Source organism: Homo sapiens, chromosome 1, assembly GCF_000001405.40.
Source record: "Homo sapiens chromosome 1, GRCh38.p14 Primary Assembly".
Classification (NCBI taxonomy): domain Eukaryota; kingdom Metazoa; phylum Chordata; class Mammalia; order Primates; family Hominidae; genus Homo; species Homo sapiens.
Genome location: NC_000001.11, coordinates 108,399,683 through 108,425,743, shown reverse-complemented (window position 1 = coordinate 108,425,743; position 26,061 = coordinate 108,399,683). Strand labels below are relative to the sequence as shown.

Here is a 26,061-nt window from a genome sequence, read left to right as displayed (position 1 = left end):
TCTATTTAGCTACATCAATTTTGGGAATATAATATAAAGATTAGAGAGAAAAATGCTAGCAAAATATAAAGATTAGAAAGAAAAATACTAGCTATTGTAATTTGAGAATTTAAGGTAGCCAGGTACTGTGCAATGTGCCAAACACATGGGGTTCGGGTGAGCAAACAGAGACCCTGCTGTTATAGAATTGATAGTCTAGTAGGGAAGACAGAAATTAATTAAACATTTATACAAATATATAGTTATAAACTGCGATTATAGCTACAGAGGAAAAATAGGGTTCTCTGAGGGCCATTAATAGGGGAAATGAGGAAGTTCTGGAAAGAGTTTCTTAAAAAATATATGAACAGAGAAAAATACTGAACTGAGAGCTGAAGACTGAGGTGGAGTTAAATGAGCAAAGAACAGGGAATGACTTTCATGCAAAGGGGAAAGCATGTGTAATGAGCCTGAAGAAGGAAGAAGAATGGGACACTTTGAGAAACTGAAAAGTAGCTTGTATGGCTGGAGTACAGAAAGCAAGAGTGGTACAGGTGAGTTGGGAGGAGGAAACAGAGGTCAGATGATACTGTCTTTAAGCATAATGGGAAATTACTGAAGAAGGAAAGTATCAGATTTGCATTGTTGGAAGTTTACTCTGGTTAAAGGATAGAGAAAAAAATGGAAAGAGGAGGGTAATCACAACAGTCTAGGCAAGAGATGATGGTAGTTTGGAGACAGAAGGTGTGGCAGTGGACATGAAGATAAGTGGATGGATTTGAGAGAAACTTGGAGAGTGAAACTGGTAGGTGATGGTTTAGATGTGTAAGATGAAGGAGAGGGAAATGTCATGGATACATTCCAGGTTTTCAGTTTCAGAAGCTATATGAATGGTGCAGCCATTCCCTGAAAAGTGAAACATGGAATGAGAAACATATTTTTTTTTGTTTCTGAATTTGAGATGTTCTTAAGACATGAGAGGTTGAATGAAGGTATCTGTGTATGCCTAGAGAATTTTTAAAATTGTAACTCCACAATAATTATAAGTAGATTTCACCATTAGTGGACTGACTTTGTTCCTAAAAGGAATGAAAATTAAATAGTGATGATCATCACATAGTTCCATGAGAGCCTCCGACTATAAAGTGTAATTAACCAGAGATTTTCCCTTGGGGATCCTTGTGAAGTAATTTAATTAATTTTATTTTATTATCTGTTTTAGCAAGTTTTAGCTTACTATTTAAAAGAAAGCTAAAATATCAAATTAATTGGACTTTTCCCTTTCCTTGAATTCTCTAGCCATGATATGAGTCCCACAGCTAAATATGATCAGCTTATTTTCTTAAATTTATAAAAGGAGTGGAGTGACAGGATTTTCCAGAGGCATGACTCCATATTTCATAAAGTTTCTTACTTCAGTGTGTTGTAAACTGTGTGGTTTATGAATCAGCAAAACCGCTCTTGGGGAATATTTTACAAACGAAATCTTGAGGCCGGGCATGGTGGCTCACGCCTGTAATCTCGGCACTTTGGAAGGCTGAGGTGGGCGGATTACCTGAGGTCGGGAGTTCAAGACCAGCCTGACCAACATGGAGAAACCCCATCTCTACTAAAAATACAAAATTAGCCAGGCATGGTGGCACACGCCTGTAATCTCAGCTACTCAGGAGGCTGAGGCAGGAGAATCGCTTGAACCCAGGAGGCAGAGGTTGCGGTGAGCCGAGATTGTGCCACTGCACTCCAGCCTGGGCAACCAGAGTGAAACTCCGTCTCAAAAATAAAAAGCAGAAATGAAATCTTGAACCGTCATTATCTGGACACTTGTTTATAAACATGAAAATGTCTTGGCTTTTTCCTTAATTTGCAAAAGGTCTGTATGAAAAGATGCTATATCCATTTTCCCAAGAGGTAAACTTACAAATTAAATATTGAATTTTAAGTAAACAAGAAACAGTTTATTAATTTATTGGTGAATTAAAATCTTCAACATTCATAAAATCTATTTATATTTCTCCAAATTTTAATGAACAGTCATAGAAATTTGCATTTAAGTGGATTAGAATGCAATTTATAATACAGAATATAACCTAAGTATATAATTAACCTAGTATTTCATATTAAACAGTTGGAATATTTTGAAGTTTTCCTGAATTCTCTACTTTGTATTTTAAAAAGCTAACATTTTAGTGCTTTATGTGCATTTTAAATTTATTTTTATTTTTTCACCTCTCCTTGCCATATGCGAACATTTAAAATGTTTGAAAGCACTAATAGAAAACTCACGCATTTAAAACTATAATTCATAGCAAAACAGTCAAGTTTGGGCTCCTTTTCTTTCTCTAAAATAGACAAAACAAAATAGAAAGTCCTAAACAGAATTTCATGGCATCAGAATACCTCAGTCTCCTACCAGTGTTGTCAATGGAATAATGGTGACCTCTTATTCCTTTTCTGAGCACTCTTATTTAGAGATACAGACATTTTTAGCTACGCTTGCTTTTTTTTTTAATATTTAAACATTACACGAAATCACCAACGTGACCAAAGTAATTCAGAAAAATGTGTGAGCTCTTATACTTAAATCTGTGTTAAAAAAGACTGAGTTTTTCTTTTTTTCTCTATGTACTTTATACTTTACTTTCAAGCTCCGATCTACTAGAACAAAGGCTGACTGGAACTTCCCTTTACAGTCTTAAACTTACATGAAGGATGAATAGTATTCTCATCCATCCCTACTTTTTTTGCCTCTATCTTTTCAATTTATGTTGAAAGAGACTAGGCCAAAGATATTTTAAGATGTCTATGTATAGCTACATTATAAAGATTAGATGGGTTCTAAAATTGTGATTTAATAAATGTAACTATAATTATATAATTTATAATATACCAAACAACTAGTAATACATTAGATCAGTCCATTTTTCCAGTTTTTCAGGACACAGATATTTCTGCCATTTTATAAATTAAAGATTTTGAGTTACTTTAATATTTGGGGTTGTAACATACTTCTCAAGGTTATTAAAATGTAGTTAAAATCTGCTCTCACTGTAAAGTGTTAAAATTCAGAAGAATATTTGATACCATTTTTTCCCTCTTGTTAAATGCCATGTTTGAATTTGCTGTGAAATTAGAGAAATTTAATTTTCTCAGGTTGGGATAGGGTACTTAATAAATGATTAATGATGGGATTAAGTTGTTAAATTTTCTAAAAATTGAAATGAATATAAATGCACAATTAACATAAATTTGAGTAACCAAAGTCAATTTTTAGTTAGATTCTCCCTTTTTTTCTTAATAGGATTACTAGAAAGATTTGAAACTTAAATATAATCAACTCCTAAAGTTCACATAAATGTGACTAATATAAAGCACATCTTGATAAATTAGTATGTGTTATCATGCCTCATAATTAACAAGGAATTAGAAATTAAATTTGTTTATACGAACTTCTAAAATATAGAGGAAAAATAAACGGCAACTGGATCCCTTAATAGCCCTATAGATAATAAAAATCAGAGATTGATTTAAAATAAATGCATACCAAAAAATACTTTGAATGCTTCAGATCTACTTTAAAGTATTTTGCTATTTATTTTTTCTCTTTATTTTAGAACAAAATTTATGAATAGAAATGTGGCATATAAATTGGAACTGTTATGATGTGTGTTTCATATTTCTGGATTTGGAGACATGTTCTAATTTTAATCTGTATGTATCTTCCCTTTAGTTATTATTTATTTTTATTTTTCTTTTATTAATAGAGATAGAAGTATTTCTGCACCCAATCCAATTAACTGGAAAAAGGTCATATAAGAACATGAAAAGTCTAATCCCAGTATGGCCAAAATAGGTTTGCCAACATGGGCTAGGCCGGTAAGGAGGGAAGAGACAGGGACAGGGCAGAGGCTCCTCAGGAGGCCTTCCCTCTTTAGACCTCTTTTGGGGGTCGCCGGGGTCCTGACCCCCAGGTGCAGGTCGTCCTGGGAGGAAGGGTGGCACCAGAGTACTGGATGCTGGCATAAGAGCGAGTCTGAGCAGCTCACTCCATGCCACATCTCCCGCAGCAGTGACTTCCGGCAGGAACTGAGTCTGTACCGCGAGAATCTTAAACACCCGCGAGTGCCCTTTCAAGCCTGCTGGGGAATGCGCTCCCTTTCCCCAAACGTCCCTTGGTTCCCCCGTCGACCTACCCGTCCGAGGGTCCTGGGTACCCAACGCCGCCACGTCTGGCACCTCAACTCACGTCTGGCACCTCAACTCACATCTGGCGTCTCAACTGTCGCGTGGCGCCTCGGCCAGAGGTCCCACAAGGTGGCGCAGCCTTTCCGTGGCGCCCAAGAGCCCGCAGGCGCGGGTGGCTTGGCCCGCGTGGGCTCCGAACTGCGGCGGCTCCGCTAGACAGTTGCAGAAGCTGGCGGACGGCCGGGACCCCCTGCCTTGCGCAGCCAGGCGTCGAGGAGGCGGCGGCGAGTGCTGCGGTGCTGGCTGGGTGGCCGAGTGGTCCCCGCAGCCTCTGGACCCAGCCATGCTGCTCTGGATGCAGGGCTTCGTGCTGGAGGCGGTGGCCTGCCAGGATAACGATGACTACTTACGCTACGGGATCCTCTTCGAAGACCTGGATTGCAATGGGGACGGCGTGGTGGACATCATTGAGCTCCAGGAGGGGCTGAGAAACTGGAGCTCCGCGTTTGACCCCAACTCCGAGGAGGTGAGACCGGAAGGTGGCACAGGCAGCCTGGGGAGACGTTGGGCAGAGGGAGAAGCAAACCCTGCCCTTTCCAGAGCTGCTTTCAAAGGCCTTTGGAGTAAGGGTGGGGTTCTCCTCTGTGAGCCTCGTCACGCAGAATAATGCGACCCAACGAAACATGTTCTCAATCTTCTTAAAATAGCCACTTTCCGGCCGGGCGCGGTGTCTCACGCCTGTAATCTCAGCACTTTGGGAGGCCCAGGCGGGTGGATCGCCTGAGGTCAGGCATTCGAGACCAGCCTGGCCAACATGGTGAAACCCCCGTCTCTACTAAACAAATACAAAAATTAGCCGAGCGTGGTGGCGCGCGCCTGTAATCCCAGCTACTCCGGAGGCTGAGGCAGGAAAATCGCTTGAACCCGGAAGGCGGAAGTTGCAGTGAGCCGAGATAGCACCATTGCGCTCCAGCCCAGGCGACAGAGCGAGATTCCATCTCAAAAAAAAAAAAAAAAAAAAAAAGCCACTTTCCGTAGTGACAAAGACCTTCAGGGGGCTTTTGGGGAGATGCTGTTTCTGGTGACTCGTTCAAAATTTATGGAACCAGCACACAACGTCAGGCGCCATGTTAGCCTTTGTGCAGAAGTAAAGGAACATCTCTTTTCTTAGGGGTTTCTCTGCCCAGGGCAGTGTGCTTCAGGGTCGTCTCCAAACGACAGGCACAGATAAGAGCCCCAGAGCTATTCTCTTTCTGACATCCACACCAAGGTCTAGGGGAAGTCAGACTTTGATCCATGGGTGTACACTTCAGCTGATTGTTTTAGAACCTCATCTAAATTAGGAATACCTTCCTTCTCTAGGCCAGTCTTGACTTGATTATTTTTAAACTATTTAGATGGAAGTTTCAGAATATCAAGAGAAAAAAATTATTTTATTTATTTTCTGTCAATGCTTAGCAGTCTTCAGATATAACTCCTATTGAATTTTAGGAGTTAGGTCTGAAGACTGTAAAGCTCTTTATTGGTGAGATTTTTTTTTTTTTGGTTGTTGCTAGAAGTCCAAACCATCTGGACTCCTCTTTAGTGATGCTGGGCATCTTTACATGTGCTTAGTAGCCATTTGTATAACTTCTTTGGAGAAATGTCCAAGTTCTTTGTTCATTTTCAAATTAGGTTTTTTTTTGTTGTTGATTTTTAGGAGTTTTCTGTATAGTTTGTATATGAACCCCTTATTATATATATGATTTGCAAATGTTTACTTCCGTTTTATGAGTCTCCTTTTTACTTTTGATGCACAAAGTTTTAAATTTTCATGAAGTCCAATTTGTCGTGTTTTGGTTGCCTGTACCTTTGATGTCATGTCTAAGAAATCAATGCCAAATCCATTGTCGAGAAGATTTTGCCCTGTGTCGTCTTCTCTAAAGTTTCATAATTTTAAGAGTTACATGTAGGTCATAGATCCTTTTTGAATTAATTTTTAATAGGGTGTTAATTAAGGGTCCAATGTCATTCTTTTGCATGCAGATATTCAGTTTTCCCAGCTTCATTTGTTGAAAAAACTGTCTTTTCCCTATTGAATGGTCTTTGCACTGTTGTCAAAAATTATTTGAGCACATATGCCTAAGTGTTTATTTCTTGGCTCTCTATTCTATTCCACTGGTGTATATTTCTGTCTTTATGTTAGTAGCACACTGTTTTAATCACTCTTGTTTTGCAGTAAGTTTTGAAATCAAGAAGTGAGTCCTCCTGCTTTGTTCTTCTTTTTCAGAATTGTTTTGGCTATTTGGGGTCCCTTGAGATTCCATGTGAATTTTAGTATGGGTTTTTCTACTTCTGCAAATTCATCATTGGGATTTTGGTAGGGATTGCACTGAATCTGTAAATTGTTTTGGGTAGTATAGACATCTTAACAATATTAAGTCTTCCAGCCCATGAACGTGGGACATCTTTCCATTTATTTATGTTTTCTTTAATTTGTTTCAGAAATGTGTTATAGTTTTCATTGCATAAGTCTTTTACCTTCTTGGTTAGGTTAATTCCTAAGTGCTTTATTCTTTTGATGCTTTAATGGCATTGTTTCCTTAATTTCCTTTTCGGATTAATTATTGTTAGCATATAGGTATAGAAATGCAACTGATTTTTTTGTGTTGACTTTGCATCTTGCCACTTTGCTGAATTTGTTTATTCTAACATTTTGTGTGTGTGTGGGGGGGGTGGGTCTTTAGGATTTTCTAAATATAAAGTCATATCATCTGAAAAAGGGATAATTTTACTTCTTGCTTTCCAAATTGGATGGCTTTTATTTCTTTTTCTAACCTAATTGCTCTGATTAGAACTTCCAGTACTACGTTGAATGAAGTGATGAAAGTGGGCATACTTGCCTATTTCTAATCTTAGAGAAAAAAGCTTTTAGTCTTTCACTATTGTGTATGATGTTCATTGTAGGTTTTTCACATACGATTTTTATCATATTGAGGATAGTTTTCTTGTATTCCTAGTTTGTTGAGTGCTTTTATCATGAAAGGTTGTTGACTTTTGTCAAATGCTTTTACTGCATCAATTGCGATGTTTGTGTTTTTTGCCATCATTCTGTTAATGTTATGTATTACACTGATTGATTTTTTAAAATGTTGAACCCTCCTTGTATTCCAGGAATAAATATCACTTGAGGATGGTGTATAACCTTTTTAACCTAATAAATTCAGTTTGCTATCATTTTTTTGGAGGATTCTTGTATTAGTGTTCATGAGAGACATTGGTCTGTAATTTTCTTTTCTTGTAGTGTCTTTGTATGGCTTTGGTATTGGGCCTCATAGGCCTCATAGGGTATATACTGGCCTCATAGGATGAATCAAATTTTAAAAGTTTATTTGGAAATGTTTGAGAAGTAGTGGGGTTAGTTTTTAAATCATAGAATTTAGCAGTGAAGCTATCAGATCCTGGGCTTTTCTTTTTTTTTTTTTAATTGGGAGATTCTTGATTACTGATTCAACCTCCTCATTAGTTATAGACTATTCAGATTTTCTATTTCTTCATAATTTAGTCTTGGTAGGTTTTGTGTTTCTAGGAATTTTCTATTTCATCCAGGGTAACCAATTTGTTGGCATATAGTGTATTGTACTCTCTTATAATCCTTTTTATATCCATAGAATCAGTAGTTATGTCCCCACTTTCATTTCTGATGTTAGTAATTTGACTCTTGTTTCTTTCTTTTTTCTTAGTCCATCCACCTAAAGGTTTGCCGATTTTGTTGATCTTTTTGAGGAACTAACTTATGATTTAGTTGTTTTTCTCTATTATATTTCTTTTCTCATTTCATCTATATCTGTTCTAATCTTTATTTTTTCTGCCTGCTAGTTTTGGATTTAATTTGCTCTTTTTTTTTAGTTCCTTAAGTTGTAAAGTTAGGTTGCTGATTTGAGATCTTTATTCTTTTTTTTTGTTGTTTTTAAATGTAAGCATTTATCTCTGTAAACTTCTCTCTTAGTACAGCTTTTTGCCATATCTCGTAAGTTTTGGTATCTTGTACTTTTGATTTCATTTGTCTAAAGATATTTTCTAATTTTTCTTATTTTTTCTTTGACCCATAGTTTTTCAAGAGTGTGTTATTTAATTTCTACCCATTTATGAACTTTCCAGTTTTAATTTTGTCATTGATTTCCGGTTTCATCCACTGTGGTAAGAAAAGATACTTGGCATGATTTCAGTCTTTTAAAATTTATTAAGACTTGTTTTGTGACCTAGAGTATGATCTTTTCTGGAGAATGTCCTCTGTGTTACTGAGAAGAGTGTGTATTTTTTTCCTGTTGTATAGTATATTCTGTATATGCCTGTTAGATCTAGATGGTTTATGGTGTTCAAATTCTCTGTTTCCTTACTTATCTTCTGTTTGGTTATTCTATTCATTATTCAGTTTGGGGTATTGAATTCTTCAACTAATATTGTAGAACTAACTATTTCTCCCTTCTATTCTTCCAATTTTTGCTTTATATGTTTTGATGGCCTGTTATATGCAAAAAATATTTGTAATTATTGTATCTTCTTGATGTATTGAAACTTTTATCATTATATAATGTCCTTTATCTCATTTTTTTTTTTTAGTTTAAAGTCTGTTTTATCTCATATTAGTATAGCTATCAGTGGTCTCTTTTGGTTACCATTTGCATGGAATTTTTTTTCATTCTTTTACTTTCAATGTATTTGTGTCTTTGGCTCTTAAGTGAGTTTCTTATAAACAGCAGATAGTTGGACCATTTTCTCATTTTTCTGCTAATCTCTATCTTTTGGTTGGAGAGTTTAATCCACTTAGGTTTAAAGTAATTAGTGATGCATCAGAGGGAAAGTGGTGGATAGTGGTGTGACCTCGACTCACTGCAACCTCCACCTCGCGGGTTCAAGTGATTCTCCTGCCTCTGCCTCCTGAGTAGCTGGGATGACAGGCGTGTGCCACCACACCAGGTAATTTTTGTATTTTTAGTAGAGACAGGGTTTCACAATGTTGGCCAGGCTGGTCTTGCACTCCTTACCTCAAGTGATCTGCCTGCTTCAGCCTCCCAAAGTGCTAGGATTATAGGGGTGAGCCACCACGCCTGGCCTTTCATTTATTTCTGCTTTGATTTTTAATATTTCTTTTTTTTTCTTTGCTAACTTTTCACTTAGTTTGTTCTTTTTCTAGTTCCTTTAGGTGTAACATTAGGTTAATTATTTGAGATGTTTCTTCTTTTTTTATCTAGGGATTTATTGCTGTAAATTTCACTTTTAGAACTGCTTTTGCTGTATCCCACAAGTTTTGGTATGTTGTATTTCCATTTTAGTTTGTTTCAAGATATTTTTAAAATTTTCCTTTTAATTTCTTCATTGACTCGTTTGTTGTTTAGGGCCTGTTCAGTTTCTATGGATCTGTGAATTTTCCAAAATTCCTGTTGCTATTTATTTCTGGTTTAATGGCATTTTGGTCAGAAGAGATTTGATACTATTTCAGTCTTCTTACATTTGCTGAGGCTTGTTTTGTGCCCTAACATGATCTGTCTTGGAAAATGTTCTGTGTGCCCTTGAGAAGTATGTGTATTCTGTTTCTGTTGGATGAAAGGTTTCATATTTGTCTGTTAGGTTCATTTGGTTGAAAATGTTGGTCAAGTCCAATCTTTCCTTACTAATTTTCTTTCTAGATTAGATATCCATTGTTGAAACTGGGGTATTGAAGCTCCTGAGTATTATCATATTGCAATATCTCTCCCTCCAGATCCTATAATTTATAAATCATGGTCTAGTGTTGGGTGAGTACATATTTATAGCTGTTCTGTTCTCTTGATGAATTGAGTCCTGTGTCATTATATAATGTGTTACTTTGTCTCTTTTTACAATTTTTGACTTAAAATCTATTTTGTCTTAAATAAGTTTAGCTATCCCTGCTCTCTTGTTTTCCAAAATAGTTTCAATTATATGTGTCCTTAAAAGTAAGAAGAGTCGGCCGGGCGCGGTGGCTCACGCCTGTAATCCCAGCACTTTGGGAGGCCGAGGCGGGCGGATCACGAGGTCAGGAGATCGAGACCATCCCGGCTAAAACGGTGAAACCCCGTCTCTACTAAAAATACAAAAAATTAGCCGGGCGTAGTGGCGGGCGCCTGTAGTCCCAGCTACTCGGGAGGCTGAGGCAGGAGAATGGCGTGAACCCGGGAGGCGGAGCTTGCAGTGAGCCGAGATCCCGCCACTGCACTCCAGCCTGGGCGACAGAGCGAGACTCCGTCTCAAAAAAAAAAAAAAAAAAAAAAAAAAGTAAGAAGAGTCTTTTGTACACAGCATTCGATTTAAAAAATTTCTTTAAAAAAAACAGGACGTTTAAAATCCATTTATCACTCTATATCTTTCTATTCAGTTATTTAATACATTTACATTCGAGGTAATTTTTGATAGGTAAGGACTTAATACTACCATTTTGTGAATTGTTTTCTGCTTGTTTTGTAGATACTTAGTTTCTCTCTCCTTCTCTTGCTATCTTCCTTTATTGTTTGATATTTTTCTGTAGTGGAATGCTTTGAATGCTTTCTATTTTTGTTTTGTCCTTCTGCTAAAGATTTTTGATTTGTGGTTACCATGAGGCCTACATAGAGCATCTTATACTTGTAATAGCCTATTTCAAGCTGATAACAACTCAACTTTGTACATAGCAAAGTACTTTTATGGCCCCTTCCCCATATTTTATGCTTTTGATGTCAGAATTTATGTCATTTTATAATGTGTTTCTTTCGACAATTTATTTTAGCTACAGTTATTAATAGTTTTCTTTTAACCCTTGCACCAGGGATAAAATTGCTTTGTCACCATTACATTCCCAGAATATTCTAAATATGTATCTGTGTTACTTACACCATTTAGCTTAGTGCTTTCATTTGTTTCGTGTCATTAATTACCAGCCTTTTGTTTCAGCTTAAATAACTCCCTTTAGCAATCCTTGCAAAGCAGGTCTCATGATAATGAACTCCCTTAGCTTTTTTCTGGGAAAGTTTTTATGCCTCATTTCTGAATGACAGTTTTGCAGATAAAGTATTCTTGGTTGGCAGTTTTTTTTTCTTTAGCACTTTGAATGTATCATCTCACTGTCTCCTGGCCTGTAGGGTTTCTGCTGAGAAATCTACTGATAGTTGTATTGGCACTCCTTTTTACGTGATATGTTTCTTATCTTTTGCTGCTCTCAGAATTTTTTGTCTTTGATTTTTGGTGGTTTGATTACTATGTGTCTTGGTGAACTCTTCTTTGAGTTGAATTTGATTGAACATCTCTGTGTTTCCTATATCTGGATGTTGGCATCTATCCCCAATTAGGGAAGTCTTTAGCCAATGTATCTTTAAATACATGTTCTTGCCCTTTATCCTATTATGCAAAGGTTTGATTTTTTTTTTTTTTTTTTTTTTTTTTTTGAGACAGAGTCTCGCTGTGTCGCCCATACTGGAGTGCAGTGGTGCGATCTTGGCTCACTGCAAACTCTGCCTCTGGGTTCACACCATTCTCCTGCCTCAGCCTCCCAAGTAGCTGGGACTACAGGCACCCACCACCATGCCCAACTAATTTTTTAGTATTTTTAGTAGAGACAGGGTTTTACCGTGGTAGCCAGGATGGTCTCAATCTCCTGACCTCGTGATCCACCCGCCTTGGCCTCCCAAAGTGCTGGGATTACAGGTGTGAGCCACCACACCTGGCCAGGTTTGATCTTTTGATGGTATCCCATAGTTCCTGTAGGTTTTCTTCATTCTTTTTCAGTCTTTTGTCTTTTTGTTCCTCTGACTGGATAATTTCAAATTTTCTATTTTTTGGCCCATTGATTCTATCAGAAGAAAGATAGAATCTGTGGTTAATAATTTTTACCGAATTTTTCAGTCCAGTCATTGTATTCTTCATCTCTAGGATTTCTACTTGATTCTTTTTAATGTTTTTATTTCATCGTTGAGCTTCTCACTTTGTGTATTGTTTTGCCAAATTTCATTAAATGTTATATTTGTATACTTTTATGTTGATCTTTTAGAGGATTATTTTGAATTCTTTGTCAGTAATTTCATAGATCTCCTTTTCTTTGGGGTCTATCATTGGCACTTTATTACTTTCTTTTGGAGGTGTTATGATTCCTTGATTTTCTGTAATCCTTGTGTTCTTGTATTGTTATCTGCATATTTGCAAGGCAGCCTCTCTTCTGTCCTTTAAAGTTGTTTTGAGGCAGGGATAAATCTTCACTATTTAGTCCAGCCTGTGATTCTGGAAGGACCAGCTGGTGATGACCCCTGGCAGGCAGAACTTGTTGTGGGTTCTCTAGTTGGCTGAGATGCTGCCTTTGCTCTGATGTCATCTGATATCAACATCTGGTATCAGATACTGGCTGGGCTGCACTATCTGATGAGACCACTGGCTGGGCTCTGCTATCAGGCAGTACTGTGATGGCTTCTGGTCAGGCCAGTCACAGTGTATTTTTTTAATGAACAATTTCACTATTTGGGTTCTTTAGTTGGGCAGGACCATAAGCTGGGCTCTGAGTTTAAGCAGAGTTGCTGCTCGTGATAGGTGGGACTAGGGGCAATGCTCCTTAGAAATGCATGATTGAGGATTATTTCCCTTTAAGGGTGAATCCATGGGATGGGCTTTTGGTAGGGTATGGCTGCTGCTTGACTTACGTAGTCAAGCTGGTCGTGTCCCTTTGCTTCTTTGAAATGGGTAGAGGTAGGCATCTCCCTGCCTGGTTGGGGTCACTGGGAGCCTCTGAGGCTGGGCAGAAAGACTAGCTGTCTTGGGACCCAAGCTAGTTCCTAATTTGTATAGATTTAACCATTAAAGATTAAATATAGCAATACCATCACTAACCTTTACCTGGCAAACATACATAGAATATTGCACTCAAAAACTGAAGAATATGTGTTTCCTAAAGCACACATAGGGCGTTTATAAGAATTGCCCATACATTGGGTCATAAAGGAAATGCAAAAGATTTTAATAAAGAACTGGAATCATACAGAATATGTTCTGTATTCATAAGTAATTAAACAAGAAATAAGCTTTCTTAAAATTAAAAAAAGCTTTTTTAAAAAAAGAAATAACAGGACAAGTTTGATAAAAACTTGGGAGTGTTGTCAATCTATGGATTTTTTCATTGATATGACAAGTGATATTTTATAAGCCTTTACTCACAAACTTATATGTTGCTATACTGTTTTTGGAAAATTGGAAATACCCTGCTGAATCATACTCTAAGATAAATTATGAATTCCTGATCTCAATGATTTATTCAAAATTTATTTATAGAACTTTTATAAATGTCAGTCATAGCTCCAGCTACAAAAGATGCAGTTGTGAACAAGCCAAAGTCCCCACTTGAGGGTTTCAGGCTAGTAGATAATTCCAGATGATTACAATGTAGTGTCATAAGGCAAAGCAGATTGAAGCGGTGCACATTGCCCACAGGTGAATTTTGTAGGGAATATTTAGTTTACCTGAAAATGTCTTTATATCACCTTCATTTTTGAAGGTTATTTTTATTGCAATTGCATTCTAGGTTGACAGTTTTTTTTCTTTCAGCACTTTGAAGTTATCACTAAAGATGTCTACTATCGGCCAGGCGCAGAGGCTCATGCCTGTAATCCCAGCACTTTGGGAGGCCGAGGCAGGTGGATTACCTGAGGTCAAGAGTTCAAAACCAGCCTGGCCAACATGGTGAAACCCTGTCTCTACTAAAAATACAAAAATTAGCTGGGTGTGGTGGCGGGTGCCTGTAATCTCAGCTACTCAGGAGGCTGAGGCAGGAGAATCGCTTGAACCTGTGAGGTGGAGGTTACAGTGAGCCAAGATTGTGCCACTGTACTCCAGCTTGGGCTTGGCGACAAGAGCCAAACTCTGTCTCAAAAAAAAAAAAAAGGTGTCTGCTATCAAGAGCTGACTCTGATGTCAGTGGTTGCTTTTTTCAGTTCCTCCTGTATGTAATGTTTCTTGCCCTCACTTCCATCTTTGCTTTATTTTTTGGACTCCAATATTGCTCAGCTACTGAATTTCTATAAACTCACAGTCCTCCAGCAGCTATTTTTGTCAGGCTGATGGAGTCAAGTGTAGCTTAGTATTCAGCCAAAGATTCAAGGTTACCGGTATAGTTTCTGGAACACTGTCCAAAATTTGACCTGAAAATCCTGCCCTCTCAGCAGCCCTGAGCTCCAATCTTTGTTTATTCTACCCACCTGTTCTTTATTTAGGCTTCTACTTATCTATGCTACAATTTGGAGTGTCCCCAGCAGGAAACGAGAATCAGTGGAGAGCTCAACTTCTCGGTTTCCTTCTCTAAGTATCACAACCCTGTCCTGTTTGTAGACCAATGCCTGAAAACAATTTTTCATATATTGTGTCCAGTTTCAGATTGGTTTACAGTGGCAATCTAAGTTCTATAGCCACTATTTTGTCTTGGCTAGAACTGGAAATTGTACTAATCTTTTCGTTGGCAGGATGGAATTTGTTTTTTAGAATTTGTATTTACAAGAATGCTACTTAAAAAGCATTTCACTAATTCCACCTTTTAGTCAGACACAATGAAACAACTTCTGATCCTTTTTTAAAAAAAATTGAGAGGCTTAAAAATTGAGTAAATCCTAAATTTTCCATGGTAAAAAGTGAGTCTTCTCTTTAAATTCATAAATAAAAGGTTGTTTTAAACTTGATTAAAAAGCTATAAATAGGGAGAAGAGGATAAGAAGTAAAAATAATATTTGAAGAGCCAAAAGACATAAAATTACCCTTCAATCAGTTTTATTCACTTTTCACCCATTTATTTATTCACTCAACAGATATTTATTGAATGCTAAGTGTTGGAGATACACAGATGACTTGGTCTTTCCCTTCAAAACATCATAGGAAAATATGGGAGAAATACATACAAGTAAATAATTAAAAAGCAATATGGAATAAATTCCACTAGAGGGGCATTCTGCCAATTACCTGATCAGCACTCCTTGAAGCTATCAAGGTTATCAAAAACAGGGAAAGAGAAACTATCATAGCCAAGAGGAGCCTAAGGAGATGTGATGACAAATAGAATGTGCCATTTCAGCTGGGATCCTAAAACAAAAAGAGGACATTAGTTAAAAACTAAGAAACTCTGAATAAAGTATGGACTTTAGTGAATAATAATGTAGCTATATTGGTTCATTAATTATAACAATAATAATGTGAAATGTTACCAATGGGGAAACTGAGTGTGGGGACATATGGGACTCTCTGTGTTATCGTCTCAATTTTTCTGAAAATCTGAAACTACTTAAAAAATAAAGTCCACTTAAATAACAATATGAAAATACAGTCATTTCACAAAGTCCAAAGGAGTGACTCCAACAATAAATATTTAAGAAGTATTTATTTTTATAGTGGTGCTAACTTTGATATAAATGTTACAAGTACTATTTTCTTTTTTTTTAAATTTCAGCATGGATAGTGATGGATCAATGACAGTAGACTGGGATGAATGGAAGTACTACTTTTTACTGCATCCTGCAACAAATATCACTGAAATGATTCATTTCTGGAAGCATTCTACTGTAAGATTACTTTGTATTTTACTTTGTTTTTATTTTGCTCTAAATGTCATAGCTGTTATGATAACATAACCCCTACAATACTTGCAGCCTCAGGGGCTAAAGTTACAATATTTCCCCCCTAATAATGTTCTGCTAATTTAGCTAGTGGTATTAGTATTGTGTGTATAAACAGAGCAACCAGTTTCTTTGTTTGCCAAAATCTAGAACTTAAAATCATAATCTACCTGCTGAAAGTGCCTACTTTGTGTTAAGAATTAATTTCTATGACATAGTATTTAGATTGCCCTAGAAAAGTGAAAAATAATATATTTTTCTTTTTTCACAGATATGCTGTATCTGATTGGGTCTTCTATCATAGAAAACATAAAGTCAAATATTAGGATTTGAAAATTTTAGAACCAGAAAGGGTCAAATATTTAATAATCTGCCTGCTCATTTTATATAAGCCCTTGACTTGGAGTTGTAATAAGGAGATCCTGTAATTGAAGACTTTGTTTCCTTTAGCAGATCTCAGGTGTGGGGGTTAATTATTTATTCATGGCATACTATTCTCATTTACCCTCCTGAGTTTTTGCCTCCTCTCCACAGAGAACATAGGGGAAGCAAAGAGCACAGGCTCTGGACTGCCTAGGCTTGAATTCCACATCTACCACCCACTTGCTCTATCAACCTCTCTGTGCATCATTTTCCTCAGTTATACAGTAGGGATAAAAATGATAAATGTTTTGAGAATTAAATTAGTACATTAGTTAGTAGATTTAAAACAGGGCTAAGCACATAAGTGTTCAATAAATGTTAGTTGTTACGATAGGCACTTATTCTATCTGATATGTTTCATCTGTGTTCTTGGATTTATATATTTACATATTCTTAGGGAGCATGTAGTATTGTTTCACACATGTGTTTTTGATTTGTATAGCTAGTATTGTGCTAGAGACCACATCTGATTTCTGACTTTATGATTTGTCCTTGATGTTATATGCTTATCTAATTTATTGCTCCTAACATACTCATAGTATGCACTTATCACTTCTTCCTTGTCTATTCCCCAAGAAATGGACATCTAGTTTTTTCTCCAACTTCACCCATAAAAAATGCTTTCATTTTATGTACCTTAGAGAATTTCACCCAGTTTTCCATCATAGGGAATGTGCATTTGTACCTTTTACAACTACTAAGGTATCCAGTTTCAATTTTGTTTTAATTTCATGAAATATTGCCGTAATTTTTTTCCAGAATGGCTAGCCGTAGCAATTCACACTCCTGCCAGCAATGTATGAAGGTTCCCATTTCTTTATGTATTGTTTATTACTTGGTATTATTCAGTTTTATAGCATTTGCTGTTCTGTTGGGCATAAAGTAGAATTTCATTGTTTTAACCTGCATTTCCTTGATTCCTAGTACATTTTGAACATCTCTTCATAGGAATATTAGACATTCACATGTTCTTTTCTATGAATTGTCTGTTTATATGCTTTATCTAGTTTTTTATGGATTTTCTATCATGTCCCTAATGTTTCATAAGAGTTACATATTTATCTTAGATAGTAATCTTTGTTGTACTTTGACGTGCACATATTTTTTCTAGTATGCCATTTGTCTGTTGTTTCTTTGTTTTGTCCATGATATTCCTGGTTGAACAGAAATATTTGATTTTTGGTGAGTAAATCCACAAAATATGTAATGGTTTACAATTTTGGTATCTTATTAAGAAGTACTTTCCTACCTCTTGGTCACAAAGACGTTCTGTATCTTCTATTAGTTCTATGGTTTCTGCTTTTACATTTAGGCCTTTAATGCATCTGTTAGTTCACATTTCTACATGATTAAAAGCAGGGCTCTGATTTTATTATTTTTATATGTAGAGGGAATTTTCCCAGTATACCCTACTAAACATTGAATTCTTTTCACATTCATTTGTGATGCCACCTTTCTCACACATCAAGCTTCCATAAATACTTGGATATTTTCTTGAGCTTCCTTTTCTGTTCCATTGTTTTCTTTTTTAATGCCAATATTGAACTGTCTTTATGACTATGGTTGTGTAGTATAATACTGACCTGGTAAAGTAAATACTTCCTCTTTGTCCCCCTTCCCTCACTGATTTTTCTTATCTTTAAAAAAATTTATTCATTTTATTTATTTATTTATTTATTATGCTTCAATTTCTGGGATACATGTGCAGAATGTGCAGGTTTGTTACACAGGTATACATGTGCCATGGTGGTTTGCTGCACCCATCAACCCATTACCTGGGTTTTAAGCCCTGCATGCATTAGGTATTTGTCCTAATGCTCTCCCCCTCCTTGCCCCCCACCCCCTGACAGGCCCTGGTGTGTGATGTTTCCCTCCCTGTGTCCATGTGTTCTCATTGTTCAGCTTCCACTTATGAGTGAGAACATGTGGTGATTGGTTTTCTGTTCCTGTGTTAGTTTGCTGAGAATGATGGTTTCCAGATTCGTCTATGTCCCTGCAAAGGACATGAACTCATTATTTTTTATGGCTGCATAGTATTCCATGGTGTATATGTGCCACATTTTCTTTATCCAGTCTATCATTGGTGGGCATTTGGGTTGATTCCAAGTCTTTGCTATTGTGAACCGTGCTGCAATAAACATACGTGTGCATGGGTATATACCCAGTAATGAGATTGATGTGTCAAATGGTATTTCTGCTTCTAGACCCTTGAGGAATCTCCACACTGTCTTCTGCAATGGTTGAACTAATTTACAGTCCCACCAACAGTGTAAAAGCGTTCCTGTTTCTTCACATCCTCTCCAGCATGTTGTTTTCTGATTTTTTAATGATCTCCATTCTAACTGGCGTGAGATGCTATCTCATTGTGGTTTTGATTTGCATTTCTCTAATGATCAGTGAGGATGAGCTTGTTTTCATATCTTTGTTGGCAGCATAAATGTCTTATTTTGAGAAGTGTCTGTTTATATCCTTTGCCCAGTTTTTGATGTGGTTGTTTTTTTCTTGTAAATTTGTTTAAGTTCCTTGTAGATTCTGGATATTAGACCTTTGTCAGATGGATAGATTTCAAAAGTTTTCTCCTATTCTGTAGGTTGCCTGCTCACTCTGATGATAGTTTCTTTTGCTGAGCAGAAGATCTTTAGTTTAATGAGATCCCATTTGTAAATTTAGCCTTTCGTTGCAATTGCTTTTAGTGTTTCAGTCATAAAGTCTTTGCTCATGCCTATGTCCTGAATGGTATTACCCAGGTTTTCTTCTAGGGTTTTTATGATTTTAGGTTTTACGTTTAAGTCTTTAATCCATCTTGAGTTAATTTTTGTATAAGGTGTAACAGTTTGAGTTTTCTGCATATGGTTAGCCAGTTTTTCCAGCAGCATTTATTAAATAGGGGATCCTAAAGAAGCAAGAGCAAACAAATTCAAAAGCTAGCAGAAGAGAAGAAATAATTAAGATCAGAGCAGAACTGAAGGAGATAGAGACACAAAAAACTCTTCAAAAAATCAATGAATCCAGGAGCTGTTTTTTGAAAAGATTAACAAAGTAGATAGAATAGTAGCCAGACTAATAAAGAAGAAAAGAGAGAACAATCAAATAGACACAATAAAGAGTGATAAGGGGGATATCACCATGGACCCCACAGAAATACAAACTGCCATCAGAGAATGTTATAAACACCTCTATGCAAATGAACTAGAAAATCTAGAAGAAATGGTTAAATTCCTGGACACATACACCCTCCCAAGACTAAACCAGGAAGAAGTCGAATTCCTGAATAGACCAATAACAAGTTATGAAATTGAGGCAGTAATTAATAGCCTACCAACCAAAAAAAGCCCAGGACCAGATGGATTCACAGCCAAATTCTACCAGAGGTACAAAGAGGAGCTGGTACCATTCCTTCTGAAACTATTCCAAACAATAGAAAAAGACAGAATCCTCCCTAACTCATTTTATGAGGCCAGCATCATCCTGATACCAAAACCTGGCAGACACACAACAAAAAAAGAAAATTTCAGGCCAATATATTTGATGAACATTGATGTGAAAATCCTCAGTAAAATACTGGAAAACCAAATCCAGCAGCACATCAAAAAGCTTATCCACCACGATCAAGTCGGCTTCATCCTTGGGATGCAAGGCTGGTTTAACATACAGAAATCAATAAATGTAATCCATCACATAAACAGAACCAATGACAAAAACCACATGATTATCTCAATAGATGCAGAAAAGGCCTTCAATAAAATTCAACACCACTTCATGCTAAAACCTCTTAATAAACTAGATGTTGATGGAGCATATCTCAAAATAATAAGAGCTATTTATTTCAAACCCATAGCCATTATTATACTCAATGGGCATAAGCTGGAAGCATTCCCTTTGAAAAACAGCACAAGACAAGGATGCCCTCTCTCACCACTCCTATTCAACATAGTACTGGAAGTTCTGACCAGGGCAATCAGGCAAGAGAAAGAAATAAGAGGTATTCAAATAGGAAGAGGGGAAGTCAAATTGTCTCTGTTTGCAGATGACATGATTGTATATTTAGAAAACTCCATCGTCTCAGCCCCAAAACTCCTTAAGCTGACAAGCAACTTCAGCAAAATCTCAGGATACAAATTCAATGTGCAAGCATCACAAGCATTCCTATACACCAATAACAGACAAACAGAGAGCCAAATCATGAGTGAACTCCAATTCAGAATTGCTACAAAGAAAATAAAATACCTAGGAATACAACTTATAAGGAACGTGAAGGACCTCTTCAAGGAGAACTACAAACCACTGCTGAAGGGAATAAGAGAGGACACAAACGAATGGAAAAACATTCCATGCTCATGGATAGGAAGAATCAATGTCATGAAAATGGCCATACTGCCCAAAGTAATTTATAGATTCAATGCTATTCCCATCAAGCTACCATTGACTTTCTTCACCAAACTAGAAAAAACTACTTTAAAGTTCATATGGAACCAAAAAAGAGCCTGTATAGCCAAGACAATTCTAAGCAAAAAGAACAAAGCTGGAGTCCTCACACTACATGACTTCAAACTATACTACAAGGCTACACTAATCAAAACAGCATGGTACTGATAGCAAAACAGATATATAGACCAATGGAACAGGGCAGAGGCCTCAGAAATAACACCACACGTCTACAACCATCTGATCTTCAGCAACCTGACAAAAACAAGCAATGGGGAAAGGATCTTTCTTATCAAAATTAGCCTAGTTTTTTTTTTTTAAAGAAGAACTTTTATTTTAGATTTTAGATTTTCTTAATTTCAACTGAATTTTTGATTTTCTTAATTTCAACTGTATATTTTTAGAAACTTGATTGCAATTACGTTTGTCTTGGTTTGGGCTGCTATAAAAAATTACCATGGTCTAGGTGATTTAAACAACAAACATTTATTTCTCACAGTTCTGGAGGTTAGAAATTTGAGATCAGGGTGCTGATATAGTCAGGTTCTTGGTGAGTGCACTTTTCCTGGTGTACAGAGGGCTGTCTTCTTTCTATTCCCTCACATAGTGGAAAGAGAGCTAGCTAGACCTCTGGTGTCATCTTTTAAGGGCACTAATTCCAATTATAGTGGATCCACTCTCATGACCTAATTATCTCCCAAAGGCCGCAACTCCAAATATCATCACATTTCGATTAGGATTTCAATATATGAATTTGGAGACATACGTTTCATTCATTGCATTCTGCCCCTGGCTCCCCCAAATTCATGTTCTTCTCACATGCAAAATAAACCCATTCCATTCCAACAGCCCCCAAATACTTAACTTGTTCTGGCATTAACTTTAAAAGTCTGAAGTACAATGTCTCATCTAAATATCACATAAATTGGATATAGGTAAGATTTGAAGTACAATTCATCCTGAGGCAAATTCCTCTCCAGCTGTGAACCTGTGAAAGTAAGCAATTTATGTGCTTCCAAAATATACAGGAATAGGAGAGACATTCCCATTCCAAAAGGGAGAAAGAGGAAAGAAGGAAAGGAAAAATGGGTCCTAGGCAAGTTAATAGCAAGGCAAGCTCTGTGAGATCTTAAGGCTCAAGAATAATCATTTTGATGTTCTACTCTCTGGACTCATGGTGGCAATGGTTCCTCTTTTATACCTCTGCCCAGTGGGGGTGGTGTCCCAGTGGGTCCCAACAGCCCTGCCCCATGGCTCTGCTGCGTGTTGGTCCCACCGTTTGAAACTGAGGTGGAGGCAGCCCCATTCTCTGGCTCAGCCCATGGCACTCTGGGCCAATGGTGGAAGTGGCAGCTCTGTGGATTTCTGAATCTCCTTTGGGGTCCTTCTTCTCTTGTTTTGGATAGTGCATGTTTTCTGCTCAGTGGTTGAGTCCTGTAGTCCTGAAGTTCTAAGAAGTCTGATGGTCTTCCTTAATTGTATCCTATTTTCTCTCTTTCCTTTAGTCTCAGCTGGCATTTCTGCTAGAATTGCCCCATCTCTGTTCCTGGTTTCTGTTGAGATGGCTGATGAAGTCCATGGTTCACACTTACACGAATCTCCTTTTCAAGTGGTTAGTTCACCACACCCTTAGTGTTCTCTTCTGAACATGCTTTTTAAAAATTTTTTCGTAACATTAACAGTTCAGAAATTTTCAAATATTTAAGTTCTGGTTCCTTTTTGCTTAATGATTCCATCTTCAACTTATTTCTCTCTTACCTTTTTCTATAAGTGATCGGGAAGAAGTAAGCCACTCCTTCAACACTTTGCCTAGAAATTTCCTCCACTAAGTATCCAGTTTCATCACTTACAAGTTCTACATTCCACAAAACACTAGAACATAAACACAATTCAGCCAAGTTTTTTACCACTTTATAACAAGGATGGGCTTTCCTCTAGTTTCTAATAACATGTTTCATCATTTCCATTTGAGGCTTTGTCATGAATGGCCTCTACTATCCATATTTCTACTAACATGGTTCATAATTATGTACTGTCTTAAGAAGACAGAAGCTTTCTGTACAGCTCTCCTCTTTTATTTCTGAGCCATAATCACAATTGCCTTTAAAATCCCGTCATGGCAACATTGACATTTTCTAGCATGTACTTCACAATTCTTGCAGCCTCTACCCATTACCCACTTCCAAGATTGCTTCCACACTTTCATGTACTTGTTATTGCAGTGCCTCATTTCTCAGTACCAATTTCTGTCTTAGCCAGTTCATGCTGCTATATGTACTGGGCTACTTAAAGTTCAGGCATTTATTTTTCAGAGTTCTGAAAGCTGGAAGTCCTAGATCAGGTTGCCAGCATGGTTGGGTTCTTGGGGAATGCCCTTTTCCTGGCTGACAGAGAGCCGTCTTCTTGCCATCCTCATACAGTATGGAAAGGTAGCTAGCTAGCTGTCTGGCTTCTTATGAAGGCTTCTGATGTAATTATTTTTCAAAGACCCCACCTCCAAATACCATCACACTGGGATGAGGGTTTCAACATTTGAACTGACGGTGAAGCAGGACACAAACATTCAGTCCATTGCAGCAGTGAATTTATAGAATAATTTGGGTAAAACAGGTATCTTCATAATTTTAAGTTACTCTATCCACAAACATGATCAAATTATCTCTATTCAGATTTCTTGTTATATTATTTAACAGAGGTTACATTTTTTTCCCTGAAATGGTCTTCTGTCCTCTTTGTTAGGTTAAATCTTAGATGCTGTATAGATTTTGCCACTTTTGTGAATGTATCTTCTTTCCTATTAAATTTTCCACTTGATTATTTCTGCTTTGAGAAACTCCTTTTTGTAAGTTGATCTTCTATCTGGTACTTTGCTGAACTCTCTTATTTATTATAACAATTTGCCACCTAATACTTTTGTTTTTCCTTGTTTATGACCATATTCTTTTAATAACAATATTATTTCTTTTATTTTAGTTCCCATATGAAAACAATTCTTTTTAGCTTATATCTTTGGCTAGAATCTTCAGTACTGTGTTAGATAGCAGCAGGGATGGCAATCATTATTTCTTATTCATGAAGCATTTTTTTAAATGCTTCTAAAATTTCTTCTATTAAGTATGATGCTTGCTATGTTGTTGTTCTTATAATTATTAGCAAACTAAGGAAGTTTTCAGAATTTTAAAAATATAATTATTTAAATATATTTATATAACATAAAATTCACCCATTTTAAGAGTGCAAATAAATTCAATTATTTTAGTAAATTAAGAGAACAGTACAACAATCACCATAATCCATTTTTAGAACATTTCCATTATCCCCAAAATTCCTGGTACATGTTTACAGTTAATCTCTACTCTTCCACCTATCCCTGGGCAACTGCTCTTTACTTTCAGTCAGATACATATTTTTTAATGATAAATCGGTGATGAGATTTATTAAATAACTTTTTTGCATCCATGGAGATAATTTCCAAGAAGCAGTGCAGTATAGCATACTGGTTGAGAGACAGACTCTGAAACTACACTTCCTAGGCTCAAATTATAACATTGACAATGATTGTCTGTGTAACTTGGGCAAGTTATTGAATCTCTCTGTGCTTCAATTTCTTCAGTAAAATGAGAATAATGATAGCTATCTATTAGTTGAACTATAGGAAATTTCTGATATCCAACTATTTTTGACCTACAAGAATGGTAATTTGCAGAAAGTCCCCATCAGCGAGCAGGCTCTCACAGATGTGTCCCCTCAACCTTGGACTTCTCAGCCTCCATAATTGCATGAGCCCAATGAATGAATTCCTGTAATAAACTCTATCTATCTATCTATCTATCTATCTATCTATCTATCTATCTATCTATCTTATATCTATCCATCCATCCATCCTATTGGTTTTGTCTTTCTGGAGAGCCCTAACTAATACAGAGTGCTTCCATGTTTTCACCATTTCATGTTTTCTGAAGGATGTATTTTATGTTTTTTTCAAACTACTAGTACCTGTATTCTATGAGTTTTTCTTTCCTAGGTCCAACTGATACCATATATATTTTGATATATAGTGTTTTTATTGTCATTCAGGCACCATTTATTTTACAACTTCTCCCTGAGATTTCCTCTTTAATCCTAGGATTAATTAGGTAATATCTTTATTTTATGTGTGTGCATAATTTTCTGGCTGAGGGTTTTCTTTTAAAGACATCCTTTTGTTATGTATGATATTGAAATATAGTCAGGAATTATAGAGGGTATGATATAGATTCCTGGGAATTTATTGTGGCTTCATTTGTTGCCTATTAAATGGTCAGTTTTAAAAAATATGTTCTATGCATGTGTCCTAAAAAATAATGTATATTTTTTGCTTGTTGGATGTAAATTTCTATATAAATCAATTAAGCTAAACCTTATTATTTTATATGCATTATAATTTTTATTCTGTTTGATCTATAAAATTCTGAGAAGAATATTTTAAAATTAGCAAGTATAGTTGCTAATTTATTTCTTCCTGTAGTTCCACTGGTTGTTGCTGAAAATATTTTGAGCCTGTGTGGTTAACGTGTATATATGTTCATAAATTTTATATCTTTTTGATTAGTTGTTCCTTTTAACAATCTCTCATGATGGTTTTTCTTCTGAAGTTCAATCTGTATCTTCTCCTAAACAATATAGGTGTACTTCAATGTACTCTTACTTCCATTTGTTTTTTGCCATAACCCATATTTCCTTGGTATTATCTAGAATTTTAGTGGATTTTATTGGATATAGTTGCGTTTGTATGGTGTGTATATTTGCCTTTTTTAAAAAAATAATAAATTTTAGCTTACTTTATTTATCTTTACTTCTCATTTATCTTCTAATGTTCTTCTGGGTTTATTTCTCTCTTTGCTGGAGTGCCTCTTCCAAGAGTGTTTTCAAAGAGGGTCTTTGGGCGCTAAGTCTGCTGAGATATTCAATAGATACTGTTCTTGTATGTTTGCTTTTAGGTGATTTTTTTTTTTGTTTTTTTTTGTTTTTGAGACGGAGTCTCACTCCTTCACCCAGGCCGGACTGCAGTGGCACTATCTCAGCTCACTGCAAGCTCCGCCTCCCAGGTTCACGCCATTCTCCTGCCTCGGCCTCCTGAGTAGCTGGGACTATGGGCGCCCGCCACCGCGCCTGGCTAATTTTTTGTAGTTTTAATAGAGACGGGGTTTCACCATGTTAGCCAGGATGGTCTCGATCTCCTGACCTCGTGATCCGCCCACCTCGGCCTCCCAAAGTCCTGGGATTACAGGCGTGAGCCACCGCACCCAGCCCGGTATTTTTGTTTAAAATTCTAGATTAAAAGTTTCTTTAATTGATTGGTTTGAAAATATTATTGCATTGCCTTCTTACATCGTATGACCTCAATTGGATTCTTGTTTGTACAGTCGTCCCTAGGTATCCACGGGCATTGGTTCCAGGATCC

The 26,061-nt window shown here is 36.7% G+C and overlaps 1 protein-coding gene and 1 pseudogene across 6 annotated transcripts in view; one reads left to right on the top strand and one right to left on the bottom strand.

The window, feature by feature from the left end:
• The window catches only part of NBPF6 (NBPF member 6), a 50,430-nt gene extending 46,177 nt beyond the window's left edge, over positions 1-4,253 (bottom strand). For all 6 annotated transcript variants that reach the window (XM_047428683.1, XM_011542012.3, XM_047428685.1 and 3 more), the window contains exon 1: positions 4,170-4,253. The gene's annotated coding sequence lies outside the window, so the exon portion shown is untranslated. The remainder of the gene's footprint in view (positions 1-4,169) is intronic.
• Positions 4,505-26,061, top strand: part of SLC25A24P2 (SLC25A24 pseudogene 2) — a 37,551-nt pseudogene continuing 15,994 nt past the window's right edge.